Source organism: Homo sapiens, chromosome X, assembly GCF_000001405.40.
Source record: "Homo sapiens chromosome X, GRCh38.p14 Primary Assembly".
NCBI lineage: Eukaryota > Metazoa > Chordata > Mammalia > Primates > Hominidae > Homo > Homo sapiens.
Window position 1 is genome coordinate 32374492 of NC_000023.11, and position 23227 is coordinate 32397718.

The window sequence follows — 23227 nt, forward strand, 5'->3', positions numbered from 1 at the left end:
GTAGGGGTCCAGGTTCATTCCTCTATATATGGCTAGCCAGCTATCCTAGCAATATTTAATGAATAAGGTGTCCCTTCTCTGTTGCTTATTTTTGCCAACTTTGTCAAAAATCAGTTGGTTGTAGGTGTGCAGCTTTATTTCTGAGTTCTCTATTCTGTTCCATTGATCTAGGTGTCTATATCTGTAATAGTATTATGCTGTTTGCGTTACTACAGCTTTGTAGTATATTTTAAGTGGGGCAATGTAATGCCCTCAACTTTGTTCTTTTGGCTTAGGATTGCTTTAGCTGTTCAGGCCCTTTCTTGGTTCCATATGAATTTTAGAATTGTTACACAATACACCCATGTAACAAACTTGCACATGTAACCCCTGAATCTAAAGTAATTTTAAAAAGAAAGTAATCGAGAAACAGAGAAAGGGATATGGAGCTTTTTGCACAGTTTTCTTGTTTACAAAAAGGGAAATAAGATCATTTTCAGAGGACCTTCAGTTCTGATGTTACCTCACCCAGTGACTTACAGATCTGTCCTCTCTAATAACGATTCTCTCTGAATAGAAGTGTTCTTAAGGATAGAACAGCACTGCTGCCACACAAACTGACCATACACAGGCTAACTTTTGGTTCCACTTTGATGAAAATTCTCAGTTCTCGGTTTGCGCTATTCATTCCCTTGACTCTGCTTTCACAAGGAAATCATTGATAAGAATCTGTCGATCATGCTTCAATGTAGATAATAAAGAAAAAAAAAGCCACAGAAACATCCTCTTTAAAAACTGGAAAGACAATGTTCCTTATTCATCTCGCTGGAATTAATCTGCTAGGTTCCTGTCCTGTTGCTCAATCAGCAGGAGAATCTTTGGCCAATGCTTAGGCAAACCGAATGAACAGTGGCCATGCTCTTTTGAAACCAATAATACTCACGAAGTGGGTGTTCCTTAATTACTAAGCGTTATCTTACAGAACCTGGCTAGTGGAGTTTCCAAAAGGAAAAATCCCAAGCATTTGCTTTTGTATGTTTTCTTATGTTCTTATATGTGATTTTAGACACACAGAAAGTATACCAAATGTAATCATTACTTCTGTATGCATAACTCATCTTAAGGAATGAAATATTACAAGTATCATTTAAGTGTCCTGTTCATATCCCACCCAATTCTTTTGTCTTTCCTCACAGAGATAGCTCTTGTTCTGTATTCAGTTTATATTAATTCCCAAACATCTTTCTGCTTTTACTATATATTATATATAACTAAATAATGTATATTTCTACATATTTTATCCTTTGTGTAAATGGTAACACACTGCAACATTTAAGGTGTTTCCAATTTTACTATATTTCTCAAGAAGCTTGATTTTTATAACATCTCTTTCATCGTTTTAGGCAACCTTCCCCTTCCTTTTTAAAGGGCACAGCATTAGAAAACAAATGGTGAATTGCCCCCTAAGCCTATGCCAAGTTTATAAAGAACATAACTGATCTTTTGGCCAGTGTAAGAAACTCTTCTGGCCGGGTGTGGTGACTCACACCTGTAATCCCAGCACTTTGGGAGGCCGAGGCAGGTGGATGACCTGAGGTCAGGAGTTCGAGACCAGCCTGACCATCATGGTGAAACTCCAACTCTACCGAAAACACAAAAAATTAGCAGGGTATGGTGGCAGGTGTCTGTAATCCCAGCTACCCGGGAGGCTGGGGCAGGAGAACTGCTTGAACCCAGGAGGTTGCAGTGAGCCGAGATCGGGCCATTGCACTCCAGGATCGGTGACAAGAGCAAGACTCCATCTCAAAATAAATAAATAAGAATAAACTCTTTCTTTCGGTATCTATTTGGTTTCCCTACAAGTTGGAATAATTCATCTCAATGCTAGTAGTACCTCTCTGAAGGTGCATGGGGCTGACTTAAGTATTGCTCACACAATGATGGTTGTCTCATTTTATTAATTCTGTGTATTTTATGGTAGGCCTAAATGATAGTTGTGATGGGACCTTATTGAGAATTTTGGTGGTACTGGAAAACTGCTTGCACATGGACTATGGCCCTATAAATAGGCGATGAAATACTATTAAATTAATTAAATAACATAATCTAGTAAGAAATGAAGGAACAGCAAGAATGCCTGGCTGCTTTGGTGGTCACCAACATAGTTTATATTATAGACAATGCATCATCTGGGGCCTGCCCACAGCCACGGTAAGGAGGTGAAATGAGTATAGAGAATCCAATTTTTTTTTTTTCTCATAAAAACTTAAGTGTTAGATCATTGTGGAAGGGCTTGATTTGATATGACAGGGATTTTTGATAAACCGCATTGGTGACATGAATACAGTAAGCCAGACCAGATTGCTTTTGATTTTAATGTTAGATTCATTTTTCTCAGCTTCGTAATGTAAGAAAAACTGAATTGAACTTTAAATATGCTTATACTTTTCTAATTTAGGATAGGAAATTTCCTCGATTATATAACACGGCTAGTTAAAAACCAAAACCCTAAAACTTTTGTGTCACATGAAGACTTTATGAAATATATATTACTATAGATTAGTAAAATCTGTATTGTTTTTAAGGTGACTTCTGATTCTCCAATTGGAGCAATACTTCCAAATTCTTTGCTAATTTTGATCTTGAAAAGTGAATTCTAGTTTTCTCATATCACAGGAAAAACTAGTACATTTAGACTCAGTATTATCATTAACCAGTATATTAATTTTCATCACACTCAGTACTTGATACTTCATGCCCCCTATAAAACATTCTCACTTCACCTTTTAAATGCCATCATCAAGTAAGAGAGTACTACTGAGCTTTATTTTCAATAGCTTTTACAGCTAAAGTAATAGCCCAACTGTGTTTTCAAATAAATACATTCACTGAGAGATTGATACAGGTTCCTAGAGAAGTCAACATATTTTGAGTTGTCGATGGTGAGTTTTCTTTCTTCAATTATGCTTGGCACGAAAAGGCTCAATAGCCAATTTCTCTGTGACTGGTTCAAACCCAAAACTCTATGTTAGCAAAAATTTTTAGCTATTGAAGCCTTCTAGTACTATGACATACACATGAATATGAAGCCCTGCTTTCCAATTAGATATAGGGCCAAGTATAGAAATGTGTTCTCAGTTAGAAACAATCTGGCTTCTTTCCAGGAAAAAGATACAGAAAATTTTTTTCTGTATTCAGAGAAAATAAATAACCTTCAAATCTCTGATGTCTAATTCTACTTAAAAGCTCAGTTGCAGGAAAGCATATTCACAGAAGGTTACATGATGTGACAATTACGTATTGCATGCCTGTATAAAAATGTCTCCTATAATTCATAAATATATACACCCAGTATGTATCCATACAAAATTAAAAATTAATAAAATAGAGAATCTGAAAATCTGAAAACAATTGCTAGACTACTTTAGACTTCTGCTCCAATATTTTTTCCTCTCATAGAATTGCTTTTCCTGAATGGCCCTTTAGCACTAAATTTTTCTTTTTCATGGAGCCATGTTGGTAGAAAAAAATAAACATTCTTATTGTTTATTATAAGAATATGAATCAGCGTGTTATCACCTTTATGACCCTCCCATTTATTTTCTTCTGGCACTAAGTTCTAGCAAAAAGCTAACATACTACTAGTAAAGTTAAAATTATTTTAATTATTATTTTAATAATTTGGAAACTTTGGGTCTCAAAAATATGTTTACTTCTTGGTTTTGTCTTTTAGGAAGCTTGGCGCCAATTTGTGGCTTTAAAATGTTCCCTGTCCATTCCACCACCCATGATACATTGTGGATATATTTCTATGCAAGAATTTTTTATTATTTATCTACTATAATTTTCCTTTTCCTAGTTTTCCAATTTATTTAGGCTTCTCAAGTTGTGCCATATGTATCTCTTCAAGCCACACTAAATAATTTTTCTGGAATTTAATATATATTAAATATAATTAAGATACTTTAAGATAAAACTGATACTATTTAACTATAGTCAATGTACTTGAAATTATGCTTTGTTTGGATAAACTAAAGGTCAAAAAATCACTTCATGAGTAATTGACATTTTTATGTATTTGAATATTTGAAACTAGATGTTCAAATACTTTCATACGAAAATAAATATAATGTTCTTGGGTCAACAGAACTGGGAGAAATTCAGCAGATATAAATTAAATTGTCTAAAAATTTTTTAAAATAATAAAAAAGAAATTGACTCTAGATATTCAAATTTGCTGCAGTCACATTCCAAATACTTGGAATGATCGGCAACTACATTTAATGTATTGCATTTAAATGAATTTAATTTAGTTTTTAAAAATGTGACATTTATCTTTTGAAACAGCAGATGAAACTTATAGCTTGAATTAAGCTCTCCACCTACCAAGAAACCATGAGAAATGAGAATGTACTCAATAGTCACGGGGTTTCATATATGAGAGTTTGAATTTTATGTTAAAATATTAGAATGATTATCATAAATGTGACTGGCTTAGATCTGCAGGGCATATATTCTTTTATGATTGTTATTTTTAAAGAAATAATGAGAACCTTCCAAATAAATTGGTAAAAAAAAAAAAAAGTTCTGTAATTCAGATGCAAATGAATATACTTTATTTGACAACTAAGAGATTTTAGAGTATGTCATTAACAGCTTAGTGTTTGAAAAGATCTAGATAGAGTGATAAATTATCTTTATTCTATAAAGAAAGAAAATAAATGCCAGTTTTCTAAGCTTTTTTTTTTTCCTACTAGATCTCACAGTAGCTTTGCTCCTTGACGTTATGAAAAATACTTTCCAGGCAGATTCAACAAGCAGACAATTCTCCAGACTATTCAAGCCTTCTATATGAGAAGGATAACCTAGAAACCTCTGCAAAGGTCATTACCTTATAACATTTGAATGATTTCATGGTGAGGCTAATGCAAAAATACCTCAAGTAATATGTTTGAATGATAAGAAAAAATAAGGCTAATGTGAGTTTTAACCTGTATATACTGTATCTTCCTTGCTATAGTAATCTCATGTATGATCCTGAATAACTATAATTCAATATCTTATCTAACATTACATTTATTCTGAAAGAGAAGAAAAACAATTTAATTCCCTACTATTTATTTGGAAATATTTTATGTAACAAAATATATTACTACTTGTTCTCTGAATCTACATAAAGACAGTTTTCAGTTTGGGTCTCATTTATACGATTGTAAGTTTTTACATAAGGTATTGAAAATTTCCCAACTTTGAATAATCTGGATAGCCACATTGAATTAAAAATAAAGTATAAACGTCTTATACATCTAGTTAATTTGGTAACTTTAAAACATTAAGTGGGTGTAAATGGCCTAACACAGTGGCAAATTTTGAGGTAAAACATGTTATCAATATCAGCTATTTTCTTTATATCAACACACTTTCAGGTAATCTGGTAATGAATAAACAGTAAAAAAAAAAATACTAAGCTATGAGTCTCTTGACTAAGTTCTAAGCAGCATGAAATGATTGGCCATCAGAGAAAGGGCAAGAATTTAACGGCTAATGATTACAGGAGTCGCTGTGTCATTTGGTGATGGAAATGATAGCCCCTGCATAGACACCTTGAGATTCTTTCTGAAATGCGACTTTGGCAATATGCTAATCTTGCAAGTCCTGTCCAGCCCAACTGTCTTCAATCTCTGTGTCCTTGCCCTCTTCATGGCTGTGGGATTCATCTGGGCAGTATGGTCTTAGGCAAGCCAGTACATTATAGGATCTCATCTCTGGACCAATTTTCAGACTAATGACCTATGTATTTCTTAAGGTCTTATTCATAATTTACTGAACTCTAAGGAAGCTTTTGGAGAGACTCCTGCTAAAGCTTACCATTGGTTTTATCATGGTCCTGAAAAGCACAGATTAATTTTTAAGAAAGGGAATATGAAACAATATTAATATTTATAATGCTATTATTGCTACATGTTAATACTTCCTTACAAAATCATATTATGTGTTTTCACGTATGTTCAAAATAACCTTCAGTGATATAGGTTTTACCTTTCCCCAGGCAACTTCAGAATCCAAATTACTAGGCATTCCTTCAACTGCTGATCTCTTTGTCAATTCCATATCTGTAGCTGCCAGCCATTCTGTCAAGACATTCATTTCCTTTCGCATCTTACGGGACAATTTCAAGCATTTCTCCAACTGTTGCTTTCTTTCTGTTACCTGAAAAGAATTATAATGAAATGTAATTTAGTTTACTCTTTAATTCAAATTTCGTTATAACCACTTATTTGGAACTTTTATATTTCTGTTATTTAAAATAACTATTTTCTTACACGTTTTAAAATAATATTTTATAAAAATCATATATTCTGAATATTAAGAGTGAATAAAAACTGTCTAGGGCAGATGACATCGTTTGTCCAAAAGATAGGGTCTTGTATGTCGTCATGGTAGAAAAGAAACCTATACGAATTTTTCTCTAAGATAATTTATAGCCAAAGTTTATGATAAATACAATGATATAAGTCAAACTGAAGATAAAACTCATTTCTCACTGAAAACTTACTGTCATGTGTCAATAATATGGCAAGAAGGTTTACAATCCTCTATATACAAGTGAGACTAGCTCATGCTGGTAAGGAATCAAAATGAAGATAGAAGATTAATTCTCTCAAAAGGTAAAAGTATTTGTGTAATACCTAGAATTCTCAACTGTATCCTCGTTACATCTTTAAAGTGTCTCACATCTGCTCAAAAACAATACAGTGAATAGGTCACTTCCTCCTTAAACATAATTTTGCCATCCAATAGGGACAAAAAGATGAATGTGAAGACAATATTCATTCCCATTAATAGAAAAACTAATTACTTGATCCTGTGCTCCTGTTCTCAGTGTTTGATACCAACACCCTCAAAAGCAAATTATCCATATTCTCACATAAGAAATGAACAAATCTGTATTTCTCCACCACCTTCTCAGATGTGCCTATATTTTGTTAAGATTTTCAGTTGGTTGGTTTAATAAAAATCCCAGCATCTCTTTCTACTAAAGGCAGTCAAATCATCAACAAAAGCCAGATAAATTACAATTTCTTAAAGGCAAATCTTCTTGCCTCACACATCTTTAGATTACTCCTCTCTACTCCTGAAAGTTCCTTGAACAAAGAAAGGTCTCACTAAATATGCTTTATGTATTGAATAAAGGAATGAATGAAGACTTGCAAATCGTTAATTACAAGTTAGAAAATATAACTGGTAGAATTTACATAAAGAGTTTATACTCTTACAAGTTGCTCCTGGTTTTCTTTTCTTTGGTATGTGTTTTCACCTTTTTTTAAAAAAAACCCTTGTCTGTCATGAAGCCTGGGAATCTGAACAATAGATATAAATATTTGGCTCTGCAGAAACAGCATGATGGAATGTAAGTATGTTAGGCTCTGCGATACGTAGTGGACTCTCGACTTGAGTATGATTTTTGGCAGAACACCTCATTTTTCTCAACACATCTGTCAAATGGGATTACTATACTTATTAATAGAACACAGGAATATTGCGAGGGTAAAGGCAGACAACAGTTTGAGAGAGCATGACATATTGTACCACCTCAATCCCTTCCTTTATTCTCATTATTTACCTTTAGGGATGGTTCAATAAAAAACTGTGCCTGAATGTATAGAGCAAAAGCTTTATTTACATTTATTTTACTACCTTACAGGTAAATAAAACATGGACAAGATTTGGCTTTTGTTGCTAAGAAATCTGAAAGGTAGACTCCAGATTAATTTCAATTGTAATGGAATTGGTTAAAACAATACCACCACCACAAGTGCGTTATTTGTGCATTATGCCCTAAGCCCAATAGGCACCACTGACTGATACATATATTTATGTCATATATATGTGTGTGTGTGTCTATGTGTATGTGTGTGTACAACCAAAATAAGAATCTATCTATAAGCAAGAAAAACACAAAAGATAAAAATATGTATAAAGCATCTAAAATGCTACAATCGAAATAAATATTCTGGAACCTTGATAACAATTCCAATTCCAAATAATAAAATTCCTTATTTTCTTTAGGAGAGGTGTGCGTACATTTAGAAAACATTTAGTTGCTGAGGCTGTAAATTCATTTTTTAAACAGATTTTCCCTTCTATTTTTTTTTTTCCTAAGTAAAAGCATCTGCCCTTTTGACTGCAAGAATTTTGTGTTGTAGGGGTGTGTGGGGGGTGAGGGAAAATATACTTTATGGTGTGTTTCTATGCATATTTTTCCTATGCATTATTGGTAGAAAAATGATTCCAGATTCAATATTTCAAAGAAATTCTATCTTCCCAGAGCTAATGCAGTATTGATTTTTATTTATTTCATTTTGTTTATTTCCAGCTAAATACATTTTTAAAAAACAGGAGACACTGCCATCTTAAGGAAAATTGAGTTTTATACTTTGTGTGTGTATGCGAGGAATGGATACGTTTAACACAATGCCACCTGCAGTAAAATGTTTTAGTAGTCATTGTTTCACGAAGTTAACAATGTATTTAAGGGATGATATTAGTATTGCTATTTATGTAAATTTCCATAAAAATCAGAGCATAGAGAAATAAAAAGGGGTTATAGGTATTATTACATCAATGGTGCCAGCTTTAATATCTCTTAATAAATTAATTATATTTTCTCTCCCCACTCATCACCATGTAAGAATACAGCAAAAAGGTAAGACAAGAAGAAAGCTCTCCTCAGGAATGAAATGGATCAGCACCTTGATCTTGCACTCCCAGACTCCACACTTGCAGAAATCAATTTACCTAGTTTATTTTATTGTGTTATGGCAGCCAGAGCTGATTACTCCAAAAAGGTAATGCATACTCAATTGTGGCAGACACAACCATATAAATTCTGAAGATGGTTAAAATAGAAGGGTTCCTTCTTACATAAAAAGAATAATGTAATAACATTTCCTTTGTTGCCTTTGCTTTCATTAGACAAAGCTACTGCTGTTGAAAATATTTTGAGTCAAAATCCAGACAATATTTTTATTCTCAGGCAAAGAATATAGGACTTACAGCATTTTTATAAGATGGTATTTATACATGATCCCTTAGTCACAAATGTTTCTACATCAATATTTACTTCAAAAATAAATGTTTGGCCTATGTTTTTGCTGTATTCTGTGATACTATTAAAGTTAAATATGATTTCTTCATACACTTTTATTTTGCTTTAAGGATATTACTATGTGGCAAATGGTTAGAATAAACACAAGCTCTCAGATATGTATTTTCAGGAATAAATAGGGTTTGACATCATTACGAGAATCATTCATTTCTGAATAATAATCAACTCAGGGCACTATTATTCGTCTAATGTCACTTTCATTGCTTTAAATTCTAATTGATTTATTCTGTTATTTTATGTTAAATTTACTCTTGCAATGATTTCGTAAAAATTCCTATGACAAATAAAAAGCCCACACACAAAAAACCTCTATTTTAAAAAGTAAACTGAGAAACTCCCCTTTACCAAAACATATATTTTCTTAATTTAAAAAATACTCATCCATACATTATTTTAGTATAAAGTCACACAGGTCAAATTATAAACTGAAAATTTGTAATTTATAACTATAACATACATTCATTTTATTAATTTAAAATTTATAATTACAAAAACAATATATCTCCAGAACTGAAGCTGTAGCATTAGGATTAATATTAGAGATTATTCAATCTCTAATACATTTGAGACTAGAGATTACTCAGTCCTTCGTAATTGATGTTAAATATGAAATAATTGGCATCTATAAAAATTGATAAGCACCGGAATAAGGTATCAAGTGCAGATACAATTTTTCTGTCTGTGGTGATCTTTAAACAATGATAAATTTCTCTAGAGGATATAAAGGTATCTCATTCCAAAGGTACCTTGGTAGACCAAATGAACAGTTGAAATGTATTTTATTTCAAGATTATCATAATGCTTTCCCATCAATTGAGTATCAGTGTTTCTTATTTTGAAACAAAGTAGGAGAATCTTTTGTCATAGGATGGCAACAAACTTGTTTAAAACATAACAAATATTAATTAGAGGGTTTTTAAAATATAAAAACAAGACTATCTAAGAAAAATGATTACTTCCAGATTTCAACTTAATTATAAAATTTACTTTCTATGGTAAGGAATTGGCAACTAATATCTTGAAGATATAACCTTCAATCTACTTTCAGGCTGAGATGCAAGAAATATGCCTCTCCTTAGCTATTTCTCAAACATGGACATTCATATTTCTGTCTAAGATGAGGTGACAATTTTATCAGTGATGTTGTTCTATTCACTAAAGTTGAGAACCTGAGTTGTAAAAATATAACTTTTTATCCTCCAAGAAATTCAGTTCTTTCAGTCAGAACGAAATTAAAATGTTAGAAGTCCATTTTTGGAAATACTAAGATATCCGTTTATGGAAAGATATCCCATATTCATGGATTGGAATAAATAATATTGTTAAGATGTCTGTACCACTCAAAGCAATTTACAGACTTAATGCAATCCCTATTAAAATTCCAGTGACATTTTTGGCAGATGTAGAAGAAAGAATCCCAAATTTCATTTTGAACAACAAAAGACCCAGAATAGCCAAAGCAATCTTAAGCCAAAAGAACGAAGCTGGAGGTATCATAATTACCTGATTCAAAAATATTCTATAATGCTCTAGTAATTAAAAGAGCAGGATGGTAGTATAAAAACAGACATATAGACCAAAGGAACAGAATAGAGAGCCCAATAATAAATCCACATATTTATGATCAACTGATCAACCAAGGGGCCGAGAATACACAATGAAAAAAGGACATTCTCTTCAATAAATGGTTCTGAGAAATTGGATATCCAAATGCATGAAAATGCAATTGGACACTTATCTCACAGCATATAAAAAACCAGTTCAAAATGGACTCAAGACTTAAAACCTGAACCTATAAAATGATTTGAAGAAAACAGGAAAAAGCTTCCTGACATTGTTCTGGGCAAACATTTTTTTTGGATCTGACTCCCAAAGCACAGGCAACAAGAGGAAAACTAGACGACTGTTATCGCATCAACCTAAAAAGCTTCTGCTCAGCAAAACAAACAATCAACAGAGTGAAGAGACTACTTACTATCATAATCTATACAGAATATTTGAGTTGAGCGAAGTGAGATGGAGAGATATAGGCATCTTGAATTAGCAGTGAAGTGGAGCTGGTCATGAGACTCTGATCAGGACAATGATACAAAAATAATTACAGAGACGTAGGTCTTAACTGGCTATCCATGCTATCTTATTAGCCAAGTGTGGTAGATTTTGCAAGTCTTGGCCATATAGGGAAATAATTACTGTGTAATTTTTAAACTTAATGTGGTCTCTGTGGAATATGTTAACAACATTAGACCTACATATAAATAGATACAGTTTATAATATTTACCAGTCTTCAAGTCATCACAAGTAGATATATATAATGAAAATAAGGAACACTTACAACTAAGAAACCCTTTTAGAGCTATCTGATGGACCAGGAAAAACCTCCCTGAGCGTTACGTATTTTTCAATCTGAATAAGCAGAGCCTCACTGATTAATTATTGTTTCTTAATGAGAATTCCACATCGAAATATGTGTATATGTTTATCTTTGTGTATATGTGTACATATATATATATACGTATATGTGTGTATATATATACGTATACATATACATAGAGAGAGAGAGGTGTTTAGAATTGCTAAGACTCTAATCATACATAATTTATTGCCCGTTGCTTTACAATTTATAAGGAAAGTGGAAAGAAGTGTTTGTGGTCTCAGCATGCACACACCTTTGCTCCCAGCTCATTATAATGCAATTTCAAAGCTGTTACTCTTTCATCAAGTTCTTTGGGATTTTCCGTCTGCTTTTTCTGTACAATCTGACGTCCAGTCTTTATCACCATTTCCACTTCAGACTTCACTTCACTCAGACTTTTATACAAGTTCTAAGTTTAAACATAAAACAAAACATGATAATCAGTAGAGTTAAATTATTTCATAATATTATGAACAGAAATAAATAGAGATCCCCTTAATTGCTATTCCATGTTTGAAATTTTAATAGAGTAGCATTTTGCAGCGGTGGTCAATATCTAGCTTTTGCATTTTCTGTTGATTTAATATTTCTAATTGTCTACACACATGCATATATGTGTCATTTGCAGCTATTCTTATTAAACAGAGAGTTAATCATATATATGTGTTTTGTGATATATATATATTTAGTTCTTCAATCAAAGAACATAAATGTCAATTCTGAATTTTACATGACTTCTATTTTAAATGTTGGAGTTATATAATTCTAGCCATAAATTTGGATGAATTAATTCACTCCTACATCGGGTATTTATTGAGTGGTTACTATCAATCAGATAGTATTTGAATCACTGGGAAGTCAGTGGTGGCCAAAACACACACATTCACTATTGTTCTCATGGTACTTACATATTAGTAACATTAAAGCACCTAAATTTCTACATCATAATTTCAATATATATTGTATCATATATAAGAAAGTAAGGTCCTTTTCAATGTTAATTAAATTACACAACTTTATTTTCTTAAAAGTGCTGATGAAAACCAGATATAAAAATATTATTGACAATTCACATGTACATCACAAATATAAAGCACACACATACGGTTTCACAAAACATAGGTTGCTATAAAAAAGCATCATAAGACAAGTGTCATAACTTTGGAAGACAGCTATGTTCACAATTATACCACCAACACCACTCCAACACCACTTGATGTCTTAATTTTGCTTTGTAGTTTTCCTAGAAATATATGTCTTTGTATGTATGTGGCCATGTATTCAAATATATGTACGTGTGTGTATATACGTATACACGTATATATAATAGTTTACATTATGTATCTCTGCTTTAATTTGTTTAGTCATAAATCTGAACTATCAGTACTTATTTTAGTATTACCAAAAAATAAACCTGACAGTAGGTAATTGTTTTTATGGAATTAGAACAAAAATTGGGTTTAATTTCTCTTTTCAGTTTAAAAGTAATGTCTAAAAAAAAGCATTTTGTAAAGGCTGGACAATTATCTGATCAATGCTACATGTATATTTCCATATTAATCCTCTTTGACAAATGATGTTAACATTCCTTCATCACTAATAATTATGACTTTTGTCTGAGTTTCCCAGATGATATTATTTACTTCATTTTACTTTTTTCTTAGAAGATATAAAAATATCTGTGTATCTGGAAACACTGAAATTAATTATTATGTTGGAAATCAACGATGCTAATTTGGAATCAGAGATTTTTCTAAATTATTTACTCTCTGAACTTCAAAAAATATAAATGCTTTATTTTGATGAAGAAAGTTCCCTCAAGGTACCGTTAGCCATTAACATTGTTTCATTCAATAGGCAAGTAAAATATTTATAAACAAAGGGGAGAAATATTATTTATATTTGTGTTCATGAAAGTAAGACTTTTATAAATAGACAAACATGTCTTGAAGGCAAGACTATGATTATGGTATACACCACAAAGCATCGTAAACAATGAAAAAACTAAACAGTGTAAGGATATTCTTATGAAAGAACTGCTTCAATTGGTCCTGACATTTAAACCAGAACCAGAAACCAATTGAGCAAATGCCTTGAGCAGTTTCCTTTGTACTGACGCAGGGCACAGTCACAGCTTGACACAGGTGAGATTGTTTTCAGCTCATATTTACTGTTGGATACATTTTATAAGGTAACATTAGAGACCTGTTTCTAGAAAAGAACGAAAAGTGCTCACTTTGCAAATATTAGTCATGAATAAGGCACTTGGGTCATTTATGCTTTCCTTTTTTTTTTTTTTGGCAAAATTTAAGATGGGATATGTTCCCATATATTCCTATCCTTACTCATCTAATATCAACTAACTACTTTCTATCATTTCTATTCCAAGTTTCTTTTTGGGGGTGAGAATAATTAAAGTAATTATACCACTAAAATGCAGCTTGAATTATGAAAATATATTATCGAATAAGAATACCTCATATTTTTCACACATAAATATATGTATTTATTTTAAGATATTTGTTAAAAAGAAAAATATTTCCCCATTCATGATATGACTACGATGTATCTGAAGGACTCTGTTTTTCATTGATATTATGGAGTAGATGTAGAAACAATACTTAAAATATCAAGTACTAAATAGACTTGTTTTCCCTTTAATAACATTCTGTGTTTTCATTTTATGTGACTTCCCACTCTAATGGCCGATAGTACATGTAGAGTTATAATAATACTTATGTTACTCGAGTAGATGCAATCATACCTCAGCTTTGTTTTCAGAGGAATCATCTCAGTTGGTGAGTTTCCAATAACAGCAACATAGGACACCGTTCAATATTATAAAGTTTAAATCAGATTTATACTTTAGGCTATTTGTACCTTTCCATGCCTTTTAATTCGGTGTTGTCTTGAGGCATTTCACTGTATATCCAGTACTGGTGTTTAAAGGAAAGTTATTAAAGTTTGGAATAAGAGTACCTGAATTGGAATCTTGCTTTGCCATTCACCAGCTGTTTGTCCTTAAATTCTCTCAGGTAATCTGTAGCCTTAAGAATTAAAGGTGACTTCTGTATGTCACGTAGTTTACCTGGCATCCATTATTTCTGAAGTTGTTAGGATTATTGCAACTACTGTTGTTGTTACTATTTTTAGATTAATATATTTCCTTTCTAGATTTCCATTTAAAATATATTTAAAGAATCATAAAAATTAAACACAAGCAACATCCTTTTATATTCTGCACAGTTCTTAGCAGAATTATAGACTCAAAAAAGACACACAGAATAGGCCACAATACATGTGCCAATTTTTGTTCTCAATCTTAAAATTACATAGTATAATTATTATGGTTATCTGAAAACAATTCTCTCTTATAAAAGAGCAGTTACTTCTTAATGAGGAAAGTCAAGGGGTACCTGCGTATTTGCCACCAGAAATACATACCACACAATGATTTAGCTGTGACTGTACTACTTCCTGTTCCACACTCTTTGTTTCCAATGCAGGCAAGTGCATCTTCACTTCATCTAAAATCATCTTACTTTCTTGTAGACGCTGCTCAAAATTGGCTGGTTTCTGGAATAATCGAAACTTCATGGAGACATCTTGTAATTTTTTCTGTAAGGACAGTGTAAAAAGGCACTGATTTAATTTTGCCTTTCAAACAATAACTGGTCCTATTTTTATTGATAGATCTGCCTTTATTTCTGAAGATATACAGAAAAATAAAAACAAAATAAAGCAGTATTTTTCCATTCATCCAACACAGGAAAACATACATTTGGGAGAATGATTCAGTAGTTTTTTCTTAATGTTATACTAAATAAAAGGTAATTTATTAACCTATTTTATCTTTAAAATGTAGAGAGCAAAACACTCATTGTTTAGACATCAAATTATAGTTTTCAAATAATGTCCTCAAATCCAATCTTGCCAATAATCAAGTTGTCCAATATAGACTGGAGTATAATGCCCAACGAAAACACGTTCCTTAGTTTCTGAAATAACATATACCTGTGCAACATCAATCTGAGACAGGACTCTTTGGGCAGCCTCCTTCCCCTGATTATGTTTCTTCATTTCTTCTAAACTGATCTCATGACTTGTCAAATCAGATTGGATTTTCTGTTGGGAGGATAGCATTATTAGTCAGCATGCTCTACAAAGAACAACTAACTTTCCAAGAAGACGAAATTCAGAAACTCTCCTCAACCACCTCTACCATGTAGCTTCCTTTAAAATGACCGTAAATTGGCCAAGAGTGGTGGTTCACACCTGTAATCCTAGCACTTTGGGAGGTCGAGGCAGGTGGATCACCTAAATAGAATTATCATAAATATTTTTTACTTTCATAAATTATCCAAGTGAAACGATTTATTTCTTCCCTATGGGATTATTATGAAAAAAGCAATAATCATTTTGAGTCAATATCAACTATTTCAGATATCATTTTCAATAGGTAATTTATATATTATATGTAGAATTGATATGTTTTATCTTTGAAGTCACACTCAAATCGGACCAAAGACATGATGTTAATCTGTAAGATTCAGCCAACTGTGACAGGGATGAGATATAATGAGAAAATTGCATGTGGAAAATACTCCTTAATTACCTTCTTTTTATTTTATTTTATTTTATTTTGTAGAGGCAGAGTCTTGCTATGTGACCCAGCCTGGTCCCAAACTCCTGGTCTTAAGCAATTCTCCTGTCTCAGCCTCCCACAGAGCTGTGATTATAGGCGTGAGCCACTGTGCCTGGCCTTAGTGTAGTCTACTCAGTCATTATGTGCCATATTTCAGTTAAATTTCAGGGAAGCTATGAATCTAAGAAATGGAAGTCAAATGCCCCAAACAGGTATTGCTATTTGTCTGATAGATATTTGATGGCTTCCGGCAGATACTGATTGTGAATTTTAGATAACTATAAAACATTTCAATATTTATATATTCAATAAAGACATTTTCGATCAAGTTCTATAGTAAAGTATATTCTGCATTTAACATATGAATTTCTGAGCCAGTTATAGGCAGGGATCTCTGCAGCATGTGGACACGAACACAATACATTTATTTATTTATTTCTGTCAAATCCATACAAAATCAGCTAGCGGTCAAATCATTCTAATTTAAAATTCAGTCATTATTAGATTATTATAATTTAGAGCAGAAACTAAATTATACCAGAGTGCCCATAACATTATCATGCAGATCATTTTGCATAACGTATATTAGTGTAAGTGAATTTACACCAATTGGAGTAAATTCTGATACATATCATTAGAAGATAACATCAGTTTTGCTTAGCAGTTTCCAGAGCGAACTATAGCCCTGAACTGAGTAATGAGAATTATACCAAGAACATGGACTAAGTGGTTAAGGAGCTCCTTATGCAAGGTTATAAATTCACAGATGTACCTCAATATTATTCCTTAGAATATTAATCCTAACAATTATAGAGGCAAATCAATTATGAATTACCTAAATAGTTAGAATTCTGCCTTAAAACAAATGAGAGCAAATACGCATATAAATGTATCTTATTTTATTACCATATCGATGATCTTCATTGGTTGAATAACTACCTTGTGTGAGAAATATTGATATGTTTCGTGAACCTAGAATCTGGGAGTAGGGATCCATCTAGGTGCATGACGTTATTTATAGAGCAAGAAACATCACAGAATCTATAAAATTGGATGGAAGTATGCAGGGTGGAGTGATGCTTGTACGGAGGATGTCATAAGGGAGTTGATGTTAAAGTAGAACTTTCAATAATTAGTAAGCATTGCTGGGAGTAACAGATGCTTTAGAGGGGTTATGGCTAGGGCCTTTCATCTTGGAAATGTTAATCCTCCTCAAAAAGGTGGGCCAGTAACAACCATGTCTGTGCCACGTAATTCTGGCCAACTCCATGTTATGGGTGATCAGAATACACACAATGCTTGTGTTAAGAGAGAATCATCAGAATCTCTCTCAGAAAATTAGAATTGACAGAAGAGTCTGGTCAAACTGTGAGTGCTTCGAATTGTGTCACATATACTAGCAAATTGTGCTTACGAAGTCCCTAGTTTGCAGAGTGGATTGAGGAAGAGCAAAGGTCCATGAACAGAGAGAGAAGAAAGAAGTAGATGCATAGGGAGTGAGGTGGTAACAAAAACACTGATGGCTTCCAATGCGGTATGGCTTTATTTATTTATTTAGTTAGTTATTTATGTTTTGAGATGGAATCTCGCTCTGTCACCCAGGCTGGAACGCAATAGCACGATCTTGGCTCACTGCAACCTCCGCCTCCCAGGTTCAAGCGATTCTCCTGCCTCAGCCAACCAAGTAGCTGCGATTACAGGTGCCCACCACCATGCTCAGCTAATTTTTATATTTTTTAGTAGCGACAGGGTTTTACCATGTTGGTCAGGATGGTCTCGAATGCCTGACCTCAGGTGATCCACCTGCCTCGGCTTCCCAAAGTGCTGGGATTACAGGTGTGAGCCACCGTGCCCAGCCCGTAGATAGCATTTTCGAAAGAGGGCTGCAATAATAGCTCCCACAGCACATGCTCCTCTTACCACTCCCTCAACAAGAGGTGAAGTTTATTTCTTCAGCTCTTTAAATCTGGGTTGACTCTTTGACTGCTTTGACCAATAGAATATAGTCCAAGTGCCAGTTATGGCAAAAGTCCTTAAGTGGCCTGGCAGCTTCCACGTCTATCTTTTTAGAACAGTCATTCTTAGGGTGCTCCCTTTTAGAATCCATCCAACATATTATGCTCTGAGAAAGCTAAGTAACATCGAAAGGCCATGGATAAGTGCTTCAGCAACAATCACAACAAGGCTTTCAGCCAACAACTGCTAGGCATGTGAATGAGTGATCTTGGACGTTCAGCCCAGTTGAGCATTCAGGTTACTATAGTATCAGACAACAATGGACTAAAATCACATAAGAAACCACAAAAGAGAACCATCCAGGTGAGCTTTCTCAACACGCAAAACCATTAGTGGGAATAATAAATGGCTATCATAAATAACCAAAACACAGGCATTAGTCCCTTCTTGAGTCAAAACTTTATTACTGCCCTTGGATTCTATGACACATTCCTGTTTCCATATGAAAAACCTTTCTCTCTCATTTGTTTTGCTTTAGTTACTTCAATTTTGTTACTTCTAAATGAGAGTCCTAAATACTGTATATGCATACTGGATACGCAAGGATATAGGAGTTGTAAAAACAAAAGCATTTCTGGTTGAAGAGAGACAAGGTGTGGAGACAGGGCACTGAAGAGCATAAGGAGTTTGGCAAAATTTAACAAGAAATGTAGGTAGAAATCAGGTATTAAATAACTTTATGTCCCAAATGAATGGTTACCACTATTTTGATCACGAAGATAAATTTCAAAATTTGAAATTGATCATAATCACAGATAACAGTAGTTTTATTGCTAATATTTGATCCGATAACTAAGGAAATTCATAGGGAGGAAATGCGACTGTAAATCAGCAGTATGTTGAAGTGAGTTTGCATTTTAATAATCACTATGTGTGTCTGTACAGAGAGAAAGAGGGAAACAGGGTACATTTGTATAATATGTATTTTTTCAGTGTTTTCAAGCGTTAGAGGAAAGCAGAAAGAGAGAACAAAGAGAGAACCATGGAGAACACAAATTTAACTGACATGGAAAGAAAAGCACCAAATAAAGAGAAAGAACAGTCAAAGAGAAAGAAAAGAAGAACTAGAAAAGAGAGAAAATCTCACATCAATTGATGTGAGAATTTTAAGAATGAGAGAGAGAGGTCAACAGTGACAGTTTGAGATAGGTTCAATGGGATCAATAGTAATCAGGGTACATGAGCTCGTCAATGACCATTGCAGCTAGAAGAGAGAAGTGGATGACGAGAGCAGAAATCGTATTTTCAAGGGCTGGCCTGATTAAGGATCAAGGAGCACTCTAATAAAAATAGTTTAAATTACTTTTGCAGACTTTTGTCTCCACACATAATAAAATTCAGGTCAATCAGACTTGAACATACTTTAAGGCTACATGAAAGAAGCCAACACATAAAGTGATTTTTTTTAAATGTAAGAAGATAAACTTGATTTTAAAAAAACCTGTTTAAAGCAAGAAAACCAGAGTGAAGCACAAAGCTCAGGGCCAACGGAAAATATCAACAGGAGGAGAGGTGGCTCTTTTTCAGAAAACAAAAGTAAGATGTGAAGACGCAAGAAGTTGAATGCTTCCTACATGGTGCTCTCAGAGTATCAGGGTGAAATCATGTTAACAGTAACCAGGATTTAAATTTCAGGGCTCTCTCTTGCCACCTTGGGCAAAGCATCAACATGTTCTGAACCTTGATTTTCTCATGTCTAGCCCAAGAATGATAATAGCAAGCCAGCAATGAAGTTTTCTTATCTGAGAAATTCTCATTTCTTCAGTAGTCAACTACATTGGTTTTGGTCAAAAAGATCAGATGTGACAGTATATGTAAAAATACCTGTCCATGTTATTTGCACAAATATTTAGTTATAAGTTATCAGCGATATAACATGTCATTTCCTCGTAAGCACAAAACCCTAGGTATCTGCTGAGGATGAGAGGAGAGAATCAAGGTGGAATTTAAATCAAAGTGATAAAAGTTCAATAGCAATTGTGGAGACTGTGAAAGGAAACTGATTTAAAAAAATAAGAATACACTCAGAGAGGGTAGAGGGCCCAAATTATACATCTGTAATCATATCTGTGTACATGTATTTAAAAGTTTTTCCATCCCCTTAGCCTCCAAGGTTAGTAGAGGAAAAAATGAAGTATACACATAGTCCTTTAACCTTTTATACCAGAGTGGTCAAAGAAGAGCAAAAAACAAAAAAACAAAAAAAAAAAAAAAAAGAAAAGAAATCATCATCAGTATCCTCACCACCACAGATATTTGTGGGAACTTATGTGCTAACACTTTATATAATTAATTCCATCTCCTAATCATATTAACATAAGTATTTATCATCTTCATGTACAAATGAAGGTAGAAACATCAACATGCCCAAGGTAACATAACTAGGAAGTAACAAACTTGCTGCCCTCTAACAATTATACTGCCTCTTTAATTATGATTTTAAAATAAAAGTATCCTCCAAATGGACATTTGTGAGAAAAAAAGAAATTTAATCTTATTCGTATGTTGATAGCATTTAGTCAATTTAATTCAACAAATCGTTCAGCTTCTACTACTCAATTCCACACAGTGAGAACAAAATTGTTGCCCCTATACTTACAGAAGCCTTATTTTAAGAGGCAGACTGTAGATATATAAGTAAATTACAAAGCAGAAATATATGCAATGTAATAGAAAAACTAACATCACACACCAGGGCCTGTCGTGGGGTGGGGGGAGGGGGGAGGGATAGCATTAGGAGATATACCTAATGTAACTGACAAGTTAATGGGTGCAGCACACCAACATGTCACATGGATACATACGTAACAAACCTGCATGTTGTGCACACGTACCCTAGAACTTAAAGTATAATTTAAAAAAATTTTAAAAACAGAAAAACCCATGCTCTGTGATCAGAAAGATAAATATTAATATCTGCTGTATAATCTGGTGATTTTTAGGAAATTTACATGATTTAACTAGCATATGGCTGAGAAAGGGTTTTGGAGGGTCAGAGAATAAGAATATAGGATCTTATTTTAGGCTGTAGGAAACAAGCTAGCAAAGATTAGGCTTGGGGCATGCAGAGTGTGTGTGCTTAATTTAATGGGAGGAAAGACTGAATGTGAGTTAGTAAGAATTACTATCTAGATGAGGAATTAGTATGAAGCTACAGAACCTTAAGTTTCAGTGCCTCTCACTTGCAAGAGACCCTTCTATAAACCAGCATTTAATTTTCTATTTATAATTTTTTTTTTCAAAGACTGCCCCTGGAAATTCTAGAAGCTCAGCATTACAAAGCAAAGCAAAGATAGCGTAAGTGATCACTGCAACACAGGCCTTCCTGATAAGTTCCACATTTTCCCAAATGAGTCATATTGTTGTCATAAGTCATAAATAATAGGAACAACAACAGCTTACATATAACCAAACACTCGACTTTTATCTGTTGGCAGGGGACATGAAGGACCAAGTAACCTGTGAGAGGAATGTTGGGCAATTTGGAGCTCAAGGCAAAGCATTCCATGGAATTTGAAATATACATATTTCCATTAAATAGTTAGAAAAACTGTTGAGGATGAGCTTCTGTGTTTTTAGAAAGGTCGCCACCACTAAAATTATTAACATTGAAAAAAATCATCATTGAACATCATATAAAAGTGAGACTTTTATCATAATGTATAGGCATTTCTAGTGAAATTCGCATATTTGTAGTACTGTTCCAATATGATTAGAGATAAAATTTTCTTTATGCATTGAGTAGATTATGCATTAAAAAGAACTCAGTGGTTAAACATATTTTGGAAATTGAAGATGAACATGTGTCTATACCACAGAACTTCTCAGAATATTTATTAATATATATTGTGTATATCCAAGAATCATACAACACTTTGTAGATGTTATCCTTTTGCTTTTTTTTGCCAGAGTGCATCATACAAGTAGATTTGGAAAAAGGCTATCAAATATACTTAACATATTCATTAATAATAATTCAATTCATTACTAAAATTATAAAATAAAATGTCTTTATATTTCCAATTGATTCTACTATGGGTAAGCTGTAAAACATGCATGACACATATTTGCCAGCATCTTTACACATTAATTCCACAAAATTTACATTTAAATTGTAATTAACTTTTAGCTTGTACTTAGGATATCTTTTACCAGCTACTTTACCTAACCTCGTCAGAACTGTATTCTGGAACCACATAAGTAAAAAATGCTTAGCACTTTAGCGCAGGCTTATTGTGAAATAGAAAAGTAACTTGTACAAATAACAGAATATTATTGAAACTTCTGGGAAGAACAATCTCCTATGTAAAAATCACTCATAAAAAAAGACAATGTAATCATTTTCTTTTTTGACATTATGAGAATATGATGAAAGAAAATAAAATTGTGGAAGAAAACATTGGGGATAGAAGATTCAATCTGAAGGAAAATGATCTCTCTACTTGTCTACTAGATTTCTAAGTTGTCCTAAAGATGTGAGGGATGTATAATTTGAGTTATATTTTCACCTAATATATACATCTAGGGGGATATGGATAGTAAGCATTTGAAGAAAACAAATAAGCCAACCACATACAACTATTCTTGTGAAATTATCAGCCTGGCTTCGTATAAAATCAGTAAACTCTAATGGAAACAAAGTGAGAGGACATAGCAAATCACGGATACTGATGTGAACACTCACATATGCTCTATGAGGTGTTCTCAATCCAGTACCTTTCAGAATCACTAGATTTTCTTCATCAAAGTCAAGTAATATAAAGCAAATTATATCATCTTTCCATTATATTAAAAAAGACATTTGAGCTTATCTCAACATTCCATTATAAAAAAGGCATTTGAGCATGCAGTAACTATGTTCACAGCACTATATATTCAAAGTAGGAAAATAAAACAAGTGAAATCGAATTAACCATTTTTCCATTGAATATGGTAAAGGGCAAAATTATAGAACCAAAAAATCATTCAAACATTAATCACATTTTAAATATAGGACTTTAC

General features: G+C 33.1%; 1 protein-coding gene across 19 annotated transcripts in view; it reads right to left on the reverse strand.

Moving 5' to 3' along the window:
* Window positions 1-23227, reverse strand: part of DMD (dystrophin) — a 2220167-nt gene that overhangs the window by 1255270 nt on the left and 941670 nt on the right. For all 19 annotated transcript variants that reach the window (XM_006724469.4, NM_000109.4, XM_011545467.2 and 16 more), the window contains 4 exon segments: window positions 15580-15690; window positions 15010-15183; window positions 11819-11974; window positions 6019-6189 (listed from right to left, as the gene is read on the reverse strand). In XM_006724469.4, coding sequence (XP_006724532.1) covers window positions 6019-6189; window positions 11819-11974; window positions 15010-15183; window positions 15580-15690 — 612 coding nt within the window.